General features: G+C 45.9%; 2 long non-coding RNA genes across 3 annotated transcripts in view; one reads left to right on the top strand and one right to left on the bottom strand.

The window, feature by feature from the left end:
* LINC02966 (long intergenic non-protein coding RNA 2966) overlaps positions 1–9,620 on the bottom strand; it is a 101,028-nt gene extending 91,408 nt beyond the window's left edge. Inside the window, exons 1-2 of the long non-coding RNA NR_183358.1 lie at positions 9,105–9,620; positions 5,881–5,979 (exon numbers count right to left, since the gene is read on the bottom strand). This is a non-coding gene — a long non-coding RNA (long intergenic non-protein coding RNA 2966). The remainder of the gene's footprint in view (positions 1–5,880; positions 5,980–9,104) is intronic.
* Positions 9,122–20,065, top strand: LOC105373567 (uncharacterized). Of its 2 annotated transcripts, XR_923223.4 has the most exons (3): positions 9,339–9,420; positions 18,585–18,664; positions 19,705–20,065. It is a non-coding gene; the product is annotated as an uncharacterized LOC105373567 (long non-coding RNA). The 2 variants fall into 2 exon arrangements; XR_007087201.1 differs by lacking the exons at positions 18,585–18,664; positions 19,705–20,065 and adding an exon at positions 10,409–12,315 and having other exon boundaries at positions 9,122–9,420.
* The last annotated feature ends 351 nt before the right edge of the window (positions 20,066–20,416 follow it).

The following is a 20,416-nucleotide window of genomic DNA, read 5'->3' as shown; positions in this document are numbered from 1 at the left end:
ACCAGAGAAGGAAGAAATGCAAGGTTCTGAAGTTGGGGACAGGGGACCATGGTTGACTCTCTGATCACACGATGCAGGCAGTTGCCTATGCAGCTCTGGGGGGCAGAGTGCCTGGTCCTCTGCTTGATGGCATTCCTGAACCAGAGCTGGATGGTCGCCTCCACATTTCTTGCTTTGTGAAATACTTATAGAGTCCTGCTTTGTTTAGGCTTCCACTGTTTGGATTTTCTGTTATATGCAGGTCTGCTCAGGCCCCAGCTGATCCATCATGCTATTATTCCTCTCCTGGCCTCCTGCATCCCAGGCTGACCTCCCACACTGATGCTCTCTCCTTCCCCCGGCCCCATTCGTGACTTGACAGCACTTATTCTCTTCCTCTGTACAAATCATTCAAGATGCCCTCCCTGTCTGATTCACTGTAGTATTCCCAGGGCTCAGATCCATGCTTGGCACACAGTAGGCAGTCAATGAATGTTTCTTAAGCAGACAAACGAATTATCTCACTAACCCGGCATTGCTCTCATTATCTGACAGCTGCTCGGCCTACTCTCAAACCCTGACCCCTTGTCCTTCTCCTATCTCATATTTCTTATTGTCTATGAAAGATCTCTATTTGGTTGGCCTTCCAACCCCTGCAACAAAACTTGTCTGAAGCAAAGCTTGTTATCTTTCCTTCCAAGCCAGAGCCCATTCCCAACTTCCCAGTTATTGCTAGCAACACAATTAGCCTTAGGACCGCACGGTCATTGCTCTTCATTTTTCTCTTTGCTTGGCGTTCACTCCCTCTTTGACTCCTGTCTGTTCTTTCTCAGCAAGGTTTCCCAGTCTCTGTACTCTCTTTTCTCACAGCAGTTCCTGATCCAGGCTTGGACTCTGCACTGGAAGCACCAGCGGGTGGTCTTCCTTCCCACTTTTCACCAACACCAGTCAAGTGCAGGTCCTGCCAGTCCCCTGACAGAGAGGGCCTTGAAAGTGAATGTCACAGAGAGCACGCAGTGAGTGTGGGATGAGAGATGAGTAAAGGATGCCACATCTCCTTTTCCTTGAGGAGAAGGATCCTCTGTGCTTATCATACCTTTGCAATTAATACAATAATTCTGAAGACAGACTGGAGGCTCTTCTCAATTCATCAAGTTTATTGCATCCCTGAAACTAATCTAGAAATTTTACCCCCCTCCACTACCTTTACACCCTCACTCCTTCCCCCTTTCTCCTGATTCTGGGCCACAGCCGTTCACTGAGTGGCTTCCACACAACAGCTGGGGAAGCGCCCATGACAGGAATCACTGCTGAGCTCCACAGCCTGCCTGCAGGAGGCAGAGGGTCCTGGCCTCACCCACCTACTGGCTTCTCCTGATTCTGTGTTCCCTGGCTTCTCCTTCATCACTCTCTGGAAAACACTTCAAAGCTTCCTGCTCTCTCAATGCTGACCCTATGGTACTATTTCCCAAATAAATAAATGACAAAGAAAGAAACAATAACTCTTCATATAGGCAGGGCAGGCCATTTTCTTCACCATCCACCTCCATTGCACACTCTAATTACCCGATCCTACCTGTAGGTGCTTCTCACTTGAAGAATGGCAGAGAGGATTTTGCCCACCTTAGCATGCTTTCTGGGTATAACTCTATGTCCCGGATAAGCTTTTGGGCTCCCTGCACCCCACACCTCAGTCTGTTTGTGCCAACTGATTTATGCAGGGCTGGGAAGCTTCCAAAAAACAAACAAACAAACAATTTGGGATTTGGACATATACAGACATGTCTGATGACATTGGCAATGCCTTCATGAAAGCCAAATTGCAGTGATGAACTTTAGGAGATAGATCCCAAGGGAAAGAAGCCACCATTATGAACCAATCTGGAAACAGGACCTGAGCAGTAAATGGAAATGTTTCTGCATAGAATGAGGCCAACACTGCTTGAGCCTCCTTGCAGAGAAAAGGTCGTGCATATGCAAAGTGAAAAGAGCTGGAACATCTTGGAGCTCAGGCATCCCTGTAAAGGAGTCACAAAGGAAGAGAGAAGCCTTTCCCTTCCCATTCTGTAGATGTTCAGATAATAGCTGTCCAGAGAAAGTGGTGGTGGCCACACTTCAAGGGGCAGCCTGAGCAGAGTGATGATGGTGACATACAACAAGCAAGAGGCACAGCAAAGAGATTCATGAAAGCATCATGGCAAGCCCAGAGTACCACCTGAGATGGCTAGGAGGAGCCACAGGAGGATGGCAGAAGGTGGTGGCCTCAAGTTCCTAGCCACACCTCTCCAGTCCCAGGAGCCAAGCACAGAGTCCCTTGTGACCTCATTGTACCCACAGGTAGTGAGGTGAAGAAGCATTTAGATTATATAAAGAATCCTCCATTCAAGGTACATCAAGCAAGTCCAAACAATTATGTAGGAAGAATAAAAAAGACAACAGGCTTGCAAAGCATTGAGCATATTTGCAAAAGCTGAGTATAGACAGTGCAGGTGCTGTTTGGTCAGGATTGAATGGGAGGGGGAGGAGAGGCCAGACTTTGGTGTCCACTCAGCCCATCCTGAGCCAGCACTGTCCTTGGAGCGATGGAGAGTTTGAGTAAGTACAAAAACACTGGAAGCCTCAGAGACTGGCAAGTCCAATCCCTCTTTTACATGAATAAGCACCTGGGCTTTCCACAAAAGAAAATGGTTAGAAGTAGCATTTGGGTGGCACATCACAGAAGGCCCACACACACATTAGCCTGGACGATCCTCACAATGTCCCCATGAGATTGTGCTGTCCTCACTGCAAAAGCAAAGAAATAGGAGGTTTGATAATATTAAAGAAAGTGCCCAAGGTCTCTTGGCTCCACTGCACACCATGCTCTGTGAAAGACGGAAGGGGTGGGAGGCAGGGGCTAGTGGGTTATGCAGAGGACAGTTTGGTGAGATATTGCAACCATTAGTTCAATACAAAGAATGCATGTGAGTGAATGAATGAAAGAATGAATGAAAACCTGTGAGATATTAATAAAGATCATCAAACACAAGCTGTGTAGGTTTTTAAGAACTGAATAATCTCATTAAATAGTGGGAAAATTTAAGATTCCAGAAAACTCAGAAAATATATGGGCCAGTGTTTGGTATACATCAGTTCATTAAAATTATAGATGTGAAGACTCTACTCATAAACTACTGAATCAGAATATCTGGGGCCTCCTTATATTCAACAAGCTGCCCAAGTGATTGTGCTGTGTAAGTTGGAGAACTAGTGATTTAGGTTATAGTTTAATTTGTAATAATCAAGACAAATAATTAAATGCCTTGTAATGACCACTCACATTCACTGATTGCCATCATGTCTCTTTCTGATAATAATAGTGAATCTACATGAGCACTTACTCTCTGCCATATGTGTATATTCTGATTGAATTTTCATAAGAACTTTGCAGGGTGAGTATTATTATCTTCACTCAATAAACACGGGGCCTAATGCTCAGAGGGATGGAGTGGCTTGGTTAAACCGACATTGTTAGATTGTGGCAAAGCTGGCTCTGCAACAGGTCTGCCTGTCTCCAAGCCCATGCTCCCTCCATCAGAGCCAGGACACCCCTCCTTGTTTGCACTAAGTTGGACCCAGGGCTGGGCTGGGAGGTTCAGAAGAGTCTCTCATAACTTCAAAAGTGATGAGCATAATTCACAAATGTGAACACTTATCTATCATTGCAGCAACAAATAAGAACTTTTGAGAAGCTGGTGACCAAAGTTAAGAAGCATAGATAGCCTCCAAAAACTCTAGAAGAAACGGAGACCATGCCTGTGAAAGAATTATGAAACATTGGAGAGGGAGTTTGAGGGATAACAGAAGATGGAGAAATGGAGGCTGGCTTGAGAAATGTAAGTAGCCTAGATCTGGAATCTGGGAAGGAAGGGAGTGAGGGAGTACAGTGGAAGGTGCTGCAGAAAGGAAGTTGGGTGAAAGGGGAAGGAAATAAACTTCCAGATGAAAGGATTCAAGGATAAGCCTGATGTGATGGAGGTGGGTAGAATGAGAGCAAGAGCCAGGAGAGAGAGAAAGAGAGAGAGAAGAAGAGAGAGAGAGAGGCCTTGAGCGGATGATTCACCCATGCATGATTTGTAATATCATGCACTGGTCACTTGGAAAATGTTGGATCACTGAGTTACAAAGATCTTCCAAATGCACAGTAAAAAGCCCCACTGTACACCCGGAGGTAAATAAGAAAGCAAAGGCAAACGACCTTGAAACAGCATTGACCTCTCAGACACCCTGAAAGGATCTCAAGGAGTCCAGGAGTCTCAGGCTAACACCTTGAGAATTACTGCTGTGGTGTAATGAAGAGCATTCTGAACTGGGAATCAGACAAACAGCATGCTATATCGGACTCACCTTTTCATTAGCTTGGGCATGTCCCTGCACTTCTCTGAGCCCTGTCAGACAAGCTGGATGACTCACTATTTCTTAACAATTCCCCATGAATTCCCCCATCAGAGCATTTCTCTGCTTTGCCTAAGATAGACTCTTCTCTGCCCAGTTCTCCAACTGCCACCTGCCAACTGTACCCCTTCTTGAAGGCATAGCCAGTCGCCACCATGATATGTTCTCTCTTTCCCCTCTTCAGACACATCTCTCCTTCTTAGGCCCTTTACTGCCTGTGTTTGGACCTCTCCTGGGGATCTTATCTCACTCTGTCCTCAAAGTAAAAATGACCAGAATCCTTGTCTGGCACCCCCATCACCTCTGGCACCCCCTCTTCCCCTTCACAACTGGACTGTGAGTCCCTGAAGAGCAGAGACCACCAGGTGTTGTTCATGTTTGTGTCTCCTTCAGCCACTACCCAATGCCTGACACAGAGTAGGCACCCTGTGGAAGTGAAATTAATTGGTTAGCATGTTTCAGAAAGATCTATCTGTAAGGTTAAATGGATATTTATGGGAGAAGAGGCTGGGAAGAGGTGACTGGGAGGTGAAGGGAGAGGAATGGCGGTAAAGGGAAATAATGAGAAAACTGATGGAAGGGCCTGAGGGGAGAGGTCAGAGTGTACACCTATGGGCTAAAGAGACGGGGTGTGATGGGGGCACAGTAAGAAGATAAGAAGGGCATTTTATGGTGGACTTAGAGGATGGGGAGGGGAGTGGGATGCTTGGGCAATGGCGTTCCATTGGAATAAGACACTAAAGAATACTTGGGATGAAAATCAGGAGACACTGGGTGGAGGAGCTGAGTCCTGGCTGCTAGATGACACCTTGAGTGAGTGAGGGGCACGAACAGAGGTGCTAGGAAGCCGACCCCATTCTCTCTGCACACGATGCCAGGGATGCCATTGGATCTCCTGTGTGGGGCTTCCTGAGAACCCCCCTTCCAGGCACCTGGAAACCCTTGCCAGCTCCCACACATCTGGTGATGAGCAAGCCCGCATGAAGCACAAGTGGAAAAGAGCAAGACACTCAAAACCTCTGTCTTTTTCTCTTCAAATATTTGCAGAGGGAGTGTGGCAGGAGCTCAGGAATGCGGTGCTTATTGCTCACACTACATTAAAATTCAGATTGGCTTGTGCAATATCCCTGGCATAACCGCTCTGTGCTGATATTTTTATAACTCTTAATATCAAACAAATTGCCTCTTCACTGAGACAGTTTAATGTGACGGGGGCCGTGCCCGCCAGCTTCCTCACGCCGGCCCCATAAAGATCACCGTTCTGTTACTGGGGACAGAGGAGCTATGAATTTACTGTCAAAAATATGACTGGATTATGCAGAGTAAATCTTGGACTGTATTAAAAGGATCATGGTGTTTTAATTTCTTTTCTCTCCCCATACACTTGCCACCACATCTTTTTTTACTAATAAAATAAGGTTGGGGCCTCCATGTTGAATCATCTATGAATCATCTTTTTTGGCCTACCTTCCTGTTTTTGTCATATTCATGCCTCTTCTTCAGTCATCAATAGATGCCTTTGGCTCTACCTTACATTCAGTAGACGCCTCCTCTTTCCTTCATGATCTGGGAGAGAAAAAGATTTGAATGGATTTTTCTAGAAAATCTCCACCATACTTCAACTTCAGGGTCAACAGAATCTTCTCTTGTTTGGGTAACTTTTACCCCAATGGCATCTGGGGAGTAGAGAGAACTATAGTTGAACACTACACTCTTCTTCATGAGCTCATTCTATCAAACACTCCTTTTATTACAAAGACATGATTTCCTACATAATTAGGAAAAATAGACTGTATTTATTGAATAATCAGTTCTCCCTTTCATTTATAAATCAAGGACCTAGAAAAATGCCAATCAGAGCAATCCATTGAGATAGTACGTATTCCCAAATTGAGTTGTTATAAATCAACCCAAAGCAAAGAAACCTGACATTTTACTAGCCCAAGTCACTTTACTGTAGGTAATCAGTCCTTTCCAAATATTGAACATAGTTTGTGAACTCTGCCCTCCCACCGTTACTGCCCTAGAGAGCCACTCAGAGACCCAGGACACTGAAGTTTAGAACAAGTGAGTAAGGTGTCCTCCAAGAAATACATTGATTGGAGGAGTTGTGTCAGTAGAAGTCTCAGTACAGCACATGCAAGTGCTAATAGCAGCAGAAACGCAAAGAACAAATGATCAAAGTGTTTTGCATCATCTTCCAGCCTTCCTAAGACCACACACTCCAGACTGACAGACAGACATACAAATGGACACCAGTCACACATTCTTGTTTTCAAGGCAGGGAGGAAAGCTTCCACTTGAAAAGTGCCCCATCACTTGAAAGGGTTACCTGTGTGAGGTCACATAATTTTGAGTGTTTTTCTCTCGTATCTTTATATGTCAAATCTTCTTTTTCTTCTCTACTTGTATTTTATGAAGTAATACTTAGGATGACTCCACCATTTTCAAGTTTTACATTTTCATATACTTTGAAATTGGTATCCTCACATAACATAGTTAACACCAATCAGAGGTAACTTCACCCAGTATTAAAACTTGGTGCACATTTGTTTCGTAAATGTTTTAGGAAGATTTGAACTGAATAATCTTTTTCTTTAAATATCATATCTTTTTTGTTTCCTATGGCTGAAGCCATATCCACTTCCTTTGCTTCCAGAACATGCCAGATTACCCTGGCTTGCAGAACTGGTCATCTTTGAAAATCTACAAAGTTCTAGAAAGGCTGATCTAGGCTAGGAACTCAGATCAGGCCCTGTAGAATTGTCAGCTATTAAAATATGTCACATCTTATGCTTATGAAACTAGGAAAAAGCATAAATCACGCTTTTATAACTGACTGCTATGGTCTGAATGTGTCCCCCAGAGTTCAAATGTTGGTAACTTAATCTCCAATGCAACAGTGTTAAGAGGATGGATATTTAAGGGTTATTGGGCTCTGTCCTCGTTAATGGATTAATGGTGTTATCATGGGAGTTAGTTATTGATGGAGCAGGTTTCTGATAAAAGGGATGAGTCTGCCCTGCTTTCTCTCTTGCTCCTTCCTGCTCTTTTCCCCTTCCTCCTTCCCGGCTAGGATGATACAGCAAGAAGGTCCTCACCAGATGCAGCCCCCAACCTTGGATTTCCCAGCCTCCAGAAGAGTAAGAACAAAAAAAATTTTCTTTATAAATTTCTTAGGCTGTGGTATTGTGTTACAGCAACACAAAACAGACTAAGACACTGACTATGATAAAAATGGGATGATCTAGGCCAGGTGCGGTGGCTCACACCTGTAATCCCAGCACTTTGGGAGGCCAAGGTGGGCGGATCACGAAGTAAGGAGATCAAGACCATCCTGGCTAACACGGTGAAACCCGATCTCTACTAAAAATACAAAAAATGAGCCGGGTGTGGTGGCAGGCACCTGTGGTCCCAGCTACTTGGGAGGCTGAGGCAGGAGAATGGCGTGAACCCAGGAGGCGGAGCTTGCAGTGAGAGGAGATCACGCCACTGCACTCTAGCCTGGGCAACAGTGCAAGACTCCGTCTAAAAAAAAAAAAAAAAAAAAAAAATCTGAATAATGCAAAAGTTAGGAAATCTTGATAATAGCAAAAATTTAGAAACAATCAAAATGAACAAAAATATGTGCCTTGTTAAAAAAAATCATCCATAGAGCATACAAACCTATAAAAAATCACTGTAACAACTTAAAATTTTGTTTTAGAAGAAATATTTAACATGATATAAAAAGGGACCGGGCGCGGTGGCTCACGCCTGTAATCCCAGCACTTTGGGAGGCCGAGGCGGGCGGATCACGAGGTCAGGAGATCGAGACCATCCTGGCTAACATGGTGAAACCCCGTCTCTACTAAAAATACAAAAAATTAGCCGGGCGAGATGGCGGGCCCCTGTAGTCCCAGCTACTCAGGAGGCTGAGGCAGTAGAATGGCGTGAACCCGGGAGGCGGAGCCTGCAGTGAACCGAGATCGCGCCACTGCACTCCAGCCTGGGCGACAGAGCGAGACTCCATCTCAAAAAAAAAAAAAAAAAAAAAAAAAGGTATTTACAATTTAACATCGAATGAAATAAAGCAGGTCAAAACAATGTTTACAATATGACCTTGTGTTTTAATACATATATATTTTGAGACTTAAGATAAATTCCAAATTGTTCGTAGTAGAATAACAGGTGATTATTATTTTCTTCTATGTTGCTTATCTCTGTTGTCTTAATGTTTGATGGAAAAAATAAGTGTATTGCTTTCAAAATAAGAGGGAAAAAAAGTAGTCTGGAAAATTGTTTTCATTGCACATCTGTGGGAGTTGAAAATTGAGCCTAGAGCTTATAAGACATTCTTGTATTCATGCATCTCAACAAATAATACTTATGGCCTCTAAGGTAAGCTAGCCCTGTGGCACTGCAGAAAAACCAAAGACCCACTACCTGCCCTCTGACAACTTATAGTTCTGCCACCCAAACAAGAGAAAACTTCAATCGCTGCCTTTGAGGTGAGAATTGAGGGCTCATCTCTGCCAAGGACCTCTGAGGCTTCCACAGCTCCTTGGACTGAGGTTGGAGCCAGCACTGCCTCCTGTGCCCTGAGGGTCCCAGGGGATCAGGGTGTGGCTGAAGTAGTCTGGGCCTGCAGCTACTTCCTCAGGTCCACTCTCCCACCCGGACTGCCTGTCCCATTGCCCTTGGACACCCACCTCGTCACACTCTTCTGTTTCTCCCCTTCCCATCCTCTCTGTCCGGTTTCTTCCAGGCCACCTCCAAAGAGACCTGCTGCTCCACCCCCAATCTGTTGCTTGTGCCTTACTAGAGGTTTCTGCCCTTTTCAGCGCCACATCCCAGGAAAGGAAGAAACATGCTCCAGGGCTGGAAGTTCGTCTTTGAGGGGAGGAAGTTCCCTGGAGTCTGCAGCAGATGGGGGAGGCCCCAGTGGGGCGCACGTGGATGCATTTCTGGGAGGAAACCAAGTACCATCCGCTCTCGCTCGCTCCCATCCAGTGTTTTCTTCCCCCAGTGAGTCTCTTAATTTTGCTCATTTATCTTAAAGAGCTCCGTGAGCGCCGTGGGCTCTGGTGGGGGGTGGGGGGGCGCACGGGGCCTCCGACACCCGACCCCCACGCCTGCCTCCCAGAGGAGCCATCCAGCGCGGACCAAATCTCATTTTCCTACAAATAGTTTGTCAGAAGCAGCAGGGCAAGTAATAAATCACGGAGAGCGAGAGCGGAGAGGGGAGGGGGAGACTGGCGAGGGGAGGGCGGGGCCGAGGGGGCGGAGGGAGGGTTGGCGGCGCCGAGGGAGGAGCGCGCGGGAGGCTGCGAGCGGCGGGGAGGGGCGCAGGCCAGGGAGAGACAAACGGAAAAGGAGGGAAGGAGATCGAAGAGACAAAGAGAGGAAAACACGAGGGAGGATGAGAAAGGGAGAAGGAGCCAGGGGAGTCCAGAGAAAGGAAGCAAAGGGAGAGGGAGAGACTGAAGAGAGGAACGGAAAAGACTGGAAAAGACAGCAAGGGGTGAATCAGGAAGCAGAGAAGGGGAAATAAAAGGAGAGGAGAAAATGAATCCAAAGAGGATGCAAAAAAGGAGGAAGGAGAGATGTCTGGTAGAGAGGCAGACCCGGAAAAGGAATGTGGGCGAGGGGGTGCTCCATGTGTCCTGAGCCCCCTCTATGCCCTGAGCCACAGGGGTGCCTGTAGTCCGACTCCTTGACCACGTCCTCCCCATCCTTATCCCTGCTGCCTGCTCCCGGTGGACTGATGCAGGATGCAGGCAAGGATGGGCTCATCTTGGTCCACTGTTAGCCGGCCTAGAGAGACAGTCATTGCAGTGTGTGTGTGTGTGTGTGTGTGTGTGTGTGTGTGTGTGTGTGTGTGTGATGGAGACAGGGAGGGAAACCTGCATACCAACTATTATGATGAAGACATGCGTTCTTAAGCAGGCTACTTCACTCTTCTGAGCCTCAGTTTTCTGATCTCGAAAATGGGAACAATAATCTCTCTTTTCAGGCTTGGGAGAATTTAAAGAGATGACCCACAGGAAAAGCATCTACCACACGGTGCAGGCTGTTGATTAGGAAACGCAGCCTCCCTTGAGTTTCTGTGTGGGTGAACCTGGCTCCTGGGGCCCCGGGTGGGGGTGCCAGGCTTCAGAATCTGCACACTGCTTCACCACCCCCGCAGCCTGTGATCCCAAGCCAGGCCCTCTGATCCGGCAGCTGTCAACACAAGCACACTCCAGTGCTTTCTGCTTTGCTGTTGGCCTCCCTCGGGAAGCTTTGAACACTACTGAGATCATCATTGTCAAACTCTCTGGGCTCTGGTGCAAGGGCAGTCAGATAAGGAGGAATATGACGTGCCAACCCTCCTCTTTGGTCCCCAGCCCCCAGCCTCACCCTGCTGACCTCTGGCTCCTGCTTAGCTCAGAAACTGTGGGCTCAGAACAAAGTTTGAGGTTCTGCTTCTCTGATTCACCCCTTTCTCCTTCCTGATTACTGGCATGGAGCCAGGCACTGCAGGACAGAAATCAGGTAACTTTACAGATGGGAGGAATGAAGTGGTGCTTTTAGGGGCCTATGTTGTGCTGGGCACCAAAGTAAACTGCATGAGGACAGGGACCTTGTCTGCATGGCCCACAGAACTATCCTGGCACAGTGCTGGCACATGTTGAGCTCATGAAATGAATAAGTCATTTGATATTGTGAATATGCATTCACTTATTCACAACTTATGACTAAAAAAAAGCTGTTATTCCATTTTATGGAAAGGGCAACTGAGACACAAAATCACAGGCAGGAAGTGATCAAACCAGGGGTTGAATCCAGAGCAATCTGTCTCCAAAGCATGTGTTCCTTCCGCTGCAGCCCATGGCCTCCAGGCATCCTGCCCGTCGATGCCTGAGGCACCAGGGAGTTAGGAATGGCAGAGACCCAAACCCATGATTCCTGCTGGACCTTCTCCTTACCCCCTAGATTCTGGAGAGGGCACCCCACAGAGCACTCCATTCGAGGTGGCCCATTCATTTCTGGGCTCCTTGCCATTGGCATTGTCCTCTAGCTCTGGACTTCAGGCTATGCCGCTCTCAGACCCTCAGCCCCAGCCCCCTGCCCTGCTTGGGACTTTGAAGATGAGGTCACATGCCTCAGAACTTCTCTCACCTCAGCTCTTAGGACCCCAGCCATACCTGCTCTGCCCCCCCTCCCCTCTAACCCTCCAGCAATGTGGGCTTTCTCTGGGGATCTCATGTCCAACCCTGACAAGCAGCAGAGCCCAGGGAAAAGAGAACCAGGTTCCGCTCTCCTGCCATGTACCAGCTAGATGACCCTGGGCAATTCTTTTCACCTCTCCAGGACTCAGGTTTCTCAACTGGAAAATGGGGATTTTAAAAAAAATCCATGCCTAACTCCCAAGGCTGTCACGAGAATGGATTAAGGCAAAAGCTGTGAAAGTGCTTTACAAATGAGAAAGCCTCCTATTCTTCACTTTCTTCTGATGGCAAATCCCCAGCTCTCCTTCCCAAGGTTCTTGCTCTCCCGGCACAATGTACCCTGAGCACTACACATGCCTGTCCACCTTTGCTTCATGAAGAACCATGATATGTCGCCATTCAAAATCCAAATAAAGCCTCACGAGTGAATCTACTTATGGGAGACAGAATAAAGCAATGGCTAAGAGCTCTAGCAAGAGTAAAAAATCAAGTCTCCAATTTTTAGCTCTACCACTTACTAACAGTGTTAACTTTGAACAATCATTTTACCTCTCTAAGCCTCAGTTTCCCCATCTATAAAGTAGGATAATAATAATACCTGTCTTATCAGGTAGATAATGTATATGTAACATTCCTTTCTTATCAGGTAGATAATGTATATGTAGCACTAGGGACATATTAAATACCCAATAAATGGCTACTGTTGTTATCTCCTCTTGTTTTAGTCTCGACTCTTGAAAAATGAATCAGTTTTCAGACTTCATAGCTTGTGACCTCTCTCTCGATGGTCCCAGTGTCAGTTCCTTGGTGCATGTCCTTGTTTTGTCTTCCTTCAGTGATGACCACAGCCTCCTTTTCCGGCCCCCAAGTCACCCACTGCACTCTGTTCTGACCTTATCACCACCATGGGTTCCCAGGGAGCCAGACCACATGAGGAGGAGGGAATGCAGATGAGGGGAGGGGACCTGCCCAAAGTCACAGGGGTGCTACATGGGCAGAGCCGCTTCTAGGCTCATGAAGCCAATCATTTGGATTGTCCCCACCCAAAGCCCCGACAGGGCATTGAATTCCTTAAAGCCCAAGACTGGCTGCCTTTGTGAATGCCCTTTCTCAAAGCCCTTTGCAAGGGTGCCTTCGTGGCCCGGCCTCCCTCTGCCCATGCTCTGTCCCAGCCCATCTTTCCAGCCCCTTCCGATTACTGTCACTCTCTACTTCCTTGACTGTCTTGCCCTGCCAGTAAGCTTTCTCCCATATGATTCCTTCAGAGCTTGTTCTTGCATGTGCCAGGCCTCAGACTGGCTACTGTGGGAACAGGAGAATCTGAGGCACAGTATTTGCCCTCACAGAACCCCAGTCTAGTGGGTGCCACATGCCCAGTTAGACTCCCATCCTAACCTTGCAGCTCAAGCTGCCCTGTCAGTCCCTGAAGCCCACCTTCCTCCATGAAGCCCTCCCAGATTGGCTGACTAATTCAAGGCTGCTTCCCAAATCCTCCCAAAGGGCACCATTCCTCTTTGGAAGCTATACGCATCAGGTATTTTTATCTCCTTTTAAAAACTGCACCTCTCTCTCTCTCTCTGTTGAGATAATATATATGGCTGACATTTTTTAAAGTCCATTTTCAAAATGTATACTATCTTGTCTGTGTTTCCTGAATATAAAAGTCCATGCCAGCCATATTGTATTGCATTTGAAACCTCTAGAGGTAGGAATCTCAGTTCTGTGTGAGTCTCAGGGTATCAAGGCCCAGAGGCCATAGCAGGAGGGGGCAGCCAGGGCTGCCTTCGGGAGGAGAGGAAAGGCACCCACAGAGCAGCCGGAGCCACGCAGATGTCGTTGGAGGAGGAGATGAAATGCTGTGGATGTTAGGGAAGGAAAAATCCATTTCTGGATGTGGAGAATCCAGGGATGCACCCATCCTTGAGGACCAGCTCAAATGCTATGCCCGGCAGGACAGCTTCTCTGATCCCCCAACTGCACTTGAGCTTCTGAGGAAACACCCCAGTTTCCCCGGACTCACTTTGTGACACTTAGTGGATTCTCTATGGGAGTTTGGGACAGTTAAATTTGTGCACAACTTTGCTTTCTCTCTTTATGACTCAATTTGGCGAATTCCTCCTGAAAAGAGGCCAGATTCGATCAACTTTTGTATCCCATCCGTCCACAACATCCCCCTAATGTCATGCCTCATACTAAGTAGGTGCTCAATAAATGTTTGAGGAGGGGAAGAAAGAAGGAAGGGAAAGAGAGGAAGGAAGAAAGAGAAGAGGAGGTAGAGGAGAATAGAAGAGAGGAAGAAGAGCTGGAAGGAAGATGGGAGGGAGAACGGAAGGAGGAAGTGAAGGGAGGAGCATTAAGGAAATGCCCGCAGGTGGAAGCAATCCCCTATAAATGCAGGGGCTCTTCTCCGTGCTCTTTCAGTGCCAACAAGGGGCCCTGGGAACAGATTTAATTTTCTATTATCACCCTGGGGATACAGCCCCTGTCTCCTAAGCACACTGTGTGGAAACCAACACATTATGGATAGCACTGAATATGTGTTTCCAATGAGAAGTAACACCTGCAAACTCATTAGGATGATTAAGATGGCTCAGATCACCAACCTTGAGCAGGATCCAGTAAAATTAAAAAAATCCGTCAGCACCACTACCCCGTTTCAGAGCAGGAGGTTGCCAGGCAGAAGGGAAGTGCCAGCAGCCAGGGTCCTCTGGCCCAGGTGCAACTGGAGCTTCCAGGTGAGAACACAACCGCCAGATGGCAGACACATGGTGATGGCTGGGAGGTCCAGGGGCTTTGCGCCTTGCATATGGGGCAGGAAAAATGCAGTCTACGGAAGTGTGAACCAAATGGAAATGTATTCTCACATTTCTCTTCCTTTTTCTGAGACATAGTGGACCTCGGATTCTCATGCTGGTTTCTTTGTAGCAGCGTAAGGATTTGTCCCATGTGCAGGGGTGAGCCAGGCCCAGGAAGAGCAGCAGGCTGGGGCAGAGCTGCTTCGAGCTGATGGCATGGCTTTGGGCTGTTTGTTTGCCTGACCTTGTCCTAATCTGTAAAACCTATTCTTACTGCTCAAGGTGGTACCATGTCACAGTTTGTCTATACAGACTTTCTAAATGGGATTTGGAAAGTTTTTTTTTTTCCTAGAAAAAATCTTAGACTGCAGCTGTCATTATTTCTATTCAACACAAATCCTTCTCCGTCTCCACATACATCTGATCTTTCCTTAAGTTTCGCTAACCACATGAGAGTCTCCTCTGCTCTGAAACTCACTCTGCCCTCTGTGTCAATGACCTGGTTACTCTTCATCACAGGCTTCCAAAAAATCTTCAGCCATTCACTCAATCAGAGGATCCTTTATCAAGAACATGCTATATGCAAGGCTACAGGAGAAACAAAGATGGGTCACACAGTTTCTTTCTTTAAGGAGCTTCTTTCCAGGAGAAATAATTTAAACAAACAAGTAAATTATTATAATATAGTGTCCTGTATTTCATGCACATAATGCCCTACGATGAATGTCAAAATTGATCAAAATTTTAGAGGTCATCTAGCCTTTAAAATATCCACTTCCTCAAGGTGGCCTTACAAATCCCATCACAGCATCATCTTTGCACCTAGCATTTGGAAGGCCTAAGTTTTGTGGTTATGGAAAGAGATCAGAGTTTCTTGATGGAATTATTTAAGAGAAATGCCTGTTCTGGGTGTTTCCATGTCTCTCCCAATCCTGCTGGCCATTTGAATCCAGGGTTTAGCCTCTCCAGGCCTCAGTTTTCTCCTCTGTTAACCAAGAGGGTTGCACTACGTGGCTTCTGAGACCGTTCCAGAGCTAACATTTTATGATCTATGATTAAGACTGAGATGACACTGTTCAGCCCGCTGTCCAGAGGGTGACCCACCAACTTTCATAAAAACAATCATCATTAACCTATGTTAATTGGTCAATAAAACCATCACAATTTTATAGTGTGAAACCTGAGACCTGCTGAAATCAATGCTACTGGTGAGCCAAGTGGAAGTTCAGCCTTAGAAACAAAGTTGCTGACTAGTAACCCTAGTGTCATATTAGTCAAAGTGACATAGACTCAAACTTATTCTGGTTGAAATAAAAACAACTGATGGAGAAACTGAGTGGCACGTAAAACAATCTTGGGGTTGGAAGAACACAGGTCAATCAGACTGTGGGGGCTTCTTGGGGTAAGGACTGGTATAAATGAAATCCAGAACTATGTTCTTCTCCCCTTAAAGCACCTCCATCATAACCACATTGGAACCCAGGCAACCTGTGGCCAGTGAATCAGGCCTGGAGCCTCCCATCCTTTCTCAAGTTTAATCTGCTCATCATTTGTCTTATCTCAGATTTGGGGATCATCTCTTGTTCCTGATTCTCCACTTTCCCCTTGGATTTGATAGAATTCTGCTGATCTTTTAGGCTCACCCTCAAGATCTTTCTATTTTTATGCCACCCTATTCATAATGAGAGTTATCAAGTGTACCACCTACTATGTGCCAGATGATTGTTGTGCTTTATCTCAGTAAATCCTTCCAACAATTCTAGGAGACTGGAATTTTTCTCTCCAAAATTTTATACTAAAGGAAACTGAGGATCAGAGAGTTTAGATAACTTGCCAAGGTCATACACCGGTAATTAGGGGAGCCAAGATTGAAACCCAGGTCTGCTTTCATCCAAAGCTCTTTTTCTAACATCTAGACCCCTACCCCATTCAGCCCCTGGGCCAGGTCTACCTAGCACCCCTCAAGGAATAATTAGATAGTCACACTATGAATTATCGGTAACTTCACCTTGTCCAAGAGGGGCAACAAAATGTTGACAAGAGCAAAGTGGGGGTTGAAAGCTGACCTGACCTTGTCCTAATCCATAAAACCTACAGACTAGGTGTTCAATAAATGTTTGAGGAGGGGAAGAAAGAAGGAAGGGAAAGAGAGAAAAGAAGAAAGAAAAGAGGAGGTAGAGAAGAATAGAGGACAGGAAGAGAGGAAGAAGGGCCGGAAGGAAGATGGGAGGGAGAGTGCAAGGAAGAAGTGAAGGGAGAAGCATTAAGGACATGCCAGCAGGTGATTTGCATTTGAGCGGAAAGACAGAGACCACAAGCAAAAACTAAGAGGAGACAAACAATGAGTTTGGGAGTCAGGGAGGTAAAAGGAGCCAGACACAATGCAGGTGAGAGCAGAAAGCCTGATAAACCAATGCAGGATATGTGAGCCTGCAGTAAGAAGTGGCTTTTAGCACAAGGCACATCCTGCCAGGGAGAAAGAATTCCATTACAGATGCTGCATGTGGCTGGATAGGCGGAATCCTTGAAGGTCAGCCACCCAGCTTCCATCATTCTGTATCATCTGTGTCAAGAAGGCTTCCAGGCCAGTACAGAAAGCCAAAGTCACTCTAGTTAGAGCTGTAGACTCTGTGTAGTAACTACCAGGTTAAAAAATACCAAAGTATACATGTAAACTTACAATCTATATACCTACCAGCTTCTCACTTATGAAGACTGCAGAACAATTGCCATAATATTCCAAAAGTTAGCGCTCAAATGTGAGTTGAAGTCAGCCATGGTGGAGTGCACCTGTAGTCCTAGCTACTTCAGAGGCTAAGGTGGGAGGATTGTTTGAGTTCAGGAGTTTGAAACTAGCCTAGGCAACATTGTGAGACCCCCATCTCGAAAAAAAAATTGATAAGTAAATAACTTGTCAACATATTATAAGGAGGCTCTGCTTTGAGAAAACGTGTTATACAAATGTATAAATGCATCAAACTTTGTTCTGGAGGAAAGAATTCTTCAGGTTACCTGTAGGTTGGAGTTGCCCAAATTCAACTTAGACATGAGTTTTCTAGAATGCATCTATTGTGTAAAGTGATGATGATTTGCAGGTATACAACCCTAGAAAGCATTGCAGGCAGCCACACTGTGATCACCTGCCCATGCTACTGGAAGTTTATTTTCAACTTGGTATAGCAGTCAGCAGTCATTCTTGCTGTTGTGATATCACTAACCAGAAACACTCCAGAAACATACGTTTGCAAGTTAAACAAGGACATGACTGGTTATTATGTACATATTTAATTAACACTTCTATTTGTGTAAGTCATAATATGGTGTTATATGCCTATTCTCAATGCTTGATTAGCAATACATAATATTGTTAATGTTTTAATGAAGGATAATACCATGGTCTTTCCCAAGCACTCGCACTGAACTAAGTCCCTAATATGTGAGAAACGTTAACTAGGAGCCACAGGCTTCCCAAGCTATGAGGACTAAATCCAGCTCTTGTTCTTTTGAGTTGTGGATTATTGCTTAAATTGCTTCACCTCCCTGAGCCTCAGTTTCCTCATCTGTACCTTCTGAAGGAGACCTACCCTTGAAGCCCTGCCCTCCCCATGCTTTACTCCCTTCTTAGAGAGCCACATCCTCACCAGGCTACCTCCCACCATGTAGCCTCTGAGCCTGCTGCCCATTCTGCCTGGCTCACTGTTCTCCCTTTTTAGCCCACACAGCTCCTGTCACCCTTCATGTCTCAGAGCAAGCATCAGGTTCTTCGAGAAGCCTCAGTGCAGAAAGGATCAAGTCAAATCCTTCCATCATTGTTCACATTTCGTGGCATTTATTGCTGATGCAGATTTCTGTGCATTGGTGTGATGATTTCATTCATGTTTATCTCCACCAGTGGACTACAGGTTTCTGAGAAGAGACACTGTCTGTTTATACTCACCACCATACCCCAGGAACCACACCATAGTGGGAGCTCAATTCATGTGTCATGGGTGAAGGGACAACATTAATCAATCAGTTGATATGAAACAGGATGACATCCACCTGAATCACTATCATCATAAAAAAGAATAGCTGACTCTCACCCTTACTGCACCCTTCCCCAGTACATGACCCTGACCTTCAGGAACATATCATCTCGAATCATAAACACCTGATCTTACAAGTGTCTCATTCCTTCTGCCAGCTGCCAGATGCCCACTGCCCACCACTGATCTACTGAGCCAGGGTGTCCTGAGTGAATAGCACCCTTAATGGCAGGCACAGGTAACCATCTGCCTCCACGCTTATTCTCCACTGCTTCCTTTTTTTCCCCAAATGAACATCTTGTCCTTCTTCCCTCTTTGCCTCTCTCTTTCAGAATCATCAGAAAACTCTAAACCATTTTATTTAACAAATCAGCTACTGGTTAGTATATTTAAAGAAATCTGTGCATTTTCTTCCTTCCCTTTCACTTTACCCTTCCCCTCTCATCATTCCTCTCTCTTTCTCTCTCACCATCTTCTCCCTCTATCCATTCTATTTGTGAGCCAAAAATTGACCTTAATAATGACTGATAAATGCAAGAGCAGTGCTCAAGTGATCTGTCTGAATCAATGAGAAGGAAGGTGGAATTAGATGTCATAAAGAAATGGTGCCACCAACCTAAAAAGTCCTTGAATATGCCACATCCTTCTCCAGAGTCCCCTCAAAAGTCTACCCCTTCAACATCCCTTAATTGATTCTCTTTCTTCAAGAGGTCAGCATTCAGGGTACATGCAAAAACTAGTATATTCAGTTTTCAGATGCATTGTTTAATTACTCACACAGCAACAATATTATATGCTTGTTCATCTCATTGAATGCACAGATATGCAGGGTCTTAGCTATACTGTGAGTGGTTGATTAGGGAAATCTAAGGATAATTTATATTATTGTTTCTACACAAAAGGTCTGGACTCCTGAGCTCCTTTGTAATTTTTATCTCCCTTCTGAGAGTTGCAAGCAACCTGGTAATCATGGAGAAAGATCTCTCCATTGGAAATAAGACCACCCAAATTTTAAAGAATGCTGGCAATGGCCTGAGAATGCCAGGTCTTTGCTTTAGGATCTAGATGGAACTCCCAGACATTTGACCTGGAACAAGCTCTCAGCAGCATGGGCCCCAGGATCCAGGGTAAATGAGATTCATGCAAAGTCTGCAGCAGCAACAGCAGCAGTACTTTGCAGAACTCCATTTCCACCACCCTGAAGGGATCTGCTGTGCCTGGGACCTCTTTCTGCCTGTCTTTCTGGTACAGCTGTGCTTTTCCTCTCTCACCATCCAGCCATCAAGGGGGCCTGCAGTCATAAGATCATAAAAATCACAGCAGCAGCAACAACAGCAGCCATCTTTCATGGAGCATCTCCAAGTGTGTGCCACACCCTTTGCAAACACTGCCAAACAACTTGCAGATGAGAGGATTCAAGCTAAATGACAGAGACTGGGTCAGGAAGCTGAGGTCTGAACATCTCTGGCAGCCCTCTTTCCTCTAAGCCCCTGCATCCCCTGTCCATTCTCTGTCCTAGGAGCTGACATGAGTGTGTCTGGGTTCCTGATCCAAGGAGTCACTTTATACACAGTAGACAAAACCCAAATTGCAAGTGTGAGATGCATACAGAAACCAAGGTGAGCCCTAGAGAAAAGCAACCGAGATCCAATCAGAGGGGTAAGGGGAGAAGGAGCAGAGCAATGGGCCTGAAAAGAGGAGCAGTAAGAGCAGGCATCCCCAGGTCCAAGACTCAGGGTAGGGTCCTTGGGGAAGGTTAGGGCTCCACGATGCACACCTGTTCAGACATGTCATGGATTTCAAGGCAACTGGGACACCAAAGTGCCAGAAATGGAGCAATCACTTGCAGAGCATGTGAGCACACACACCTTAGGCAGAAGGTGGGGCTTTGCAATGTTATATATTACACATGGACCAAGTCCAATTTTCAATGCACCAGGGAAATGCACTTGTTAAAAGGTCTCTAAGAAGAATAAAGAAATTTAAGATG

This window comes from Homo sapiens, chromosome 2 (assembly GCF_000001405.40).
Source record: "Homo sapiens chromosome 2, GRCh38.p14 Primary Assembly".
NCBI classification, from domain to species: Eukaryota; Metazoa; Chordata; class Mammalia; order Primates; family Hominidae; genus Homo; species Homo sapiens.
Note: the sequence above shows the minus strand (reverse complement) of the source record. Positions and strands in the feature narration are given on the sequence as shown.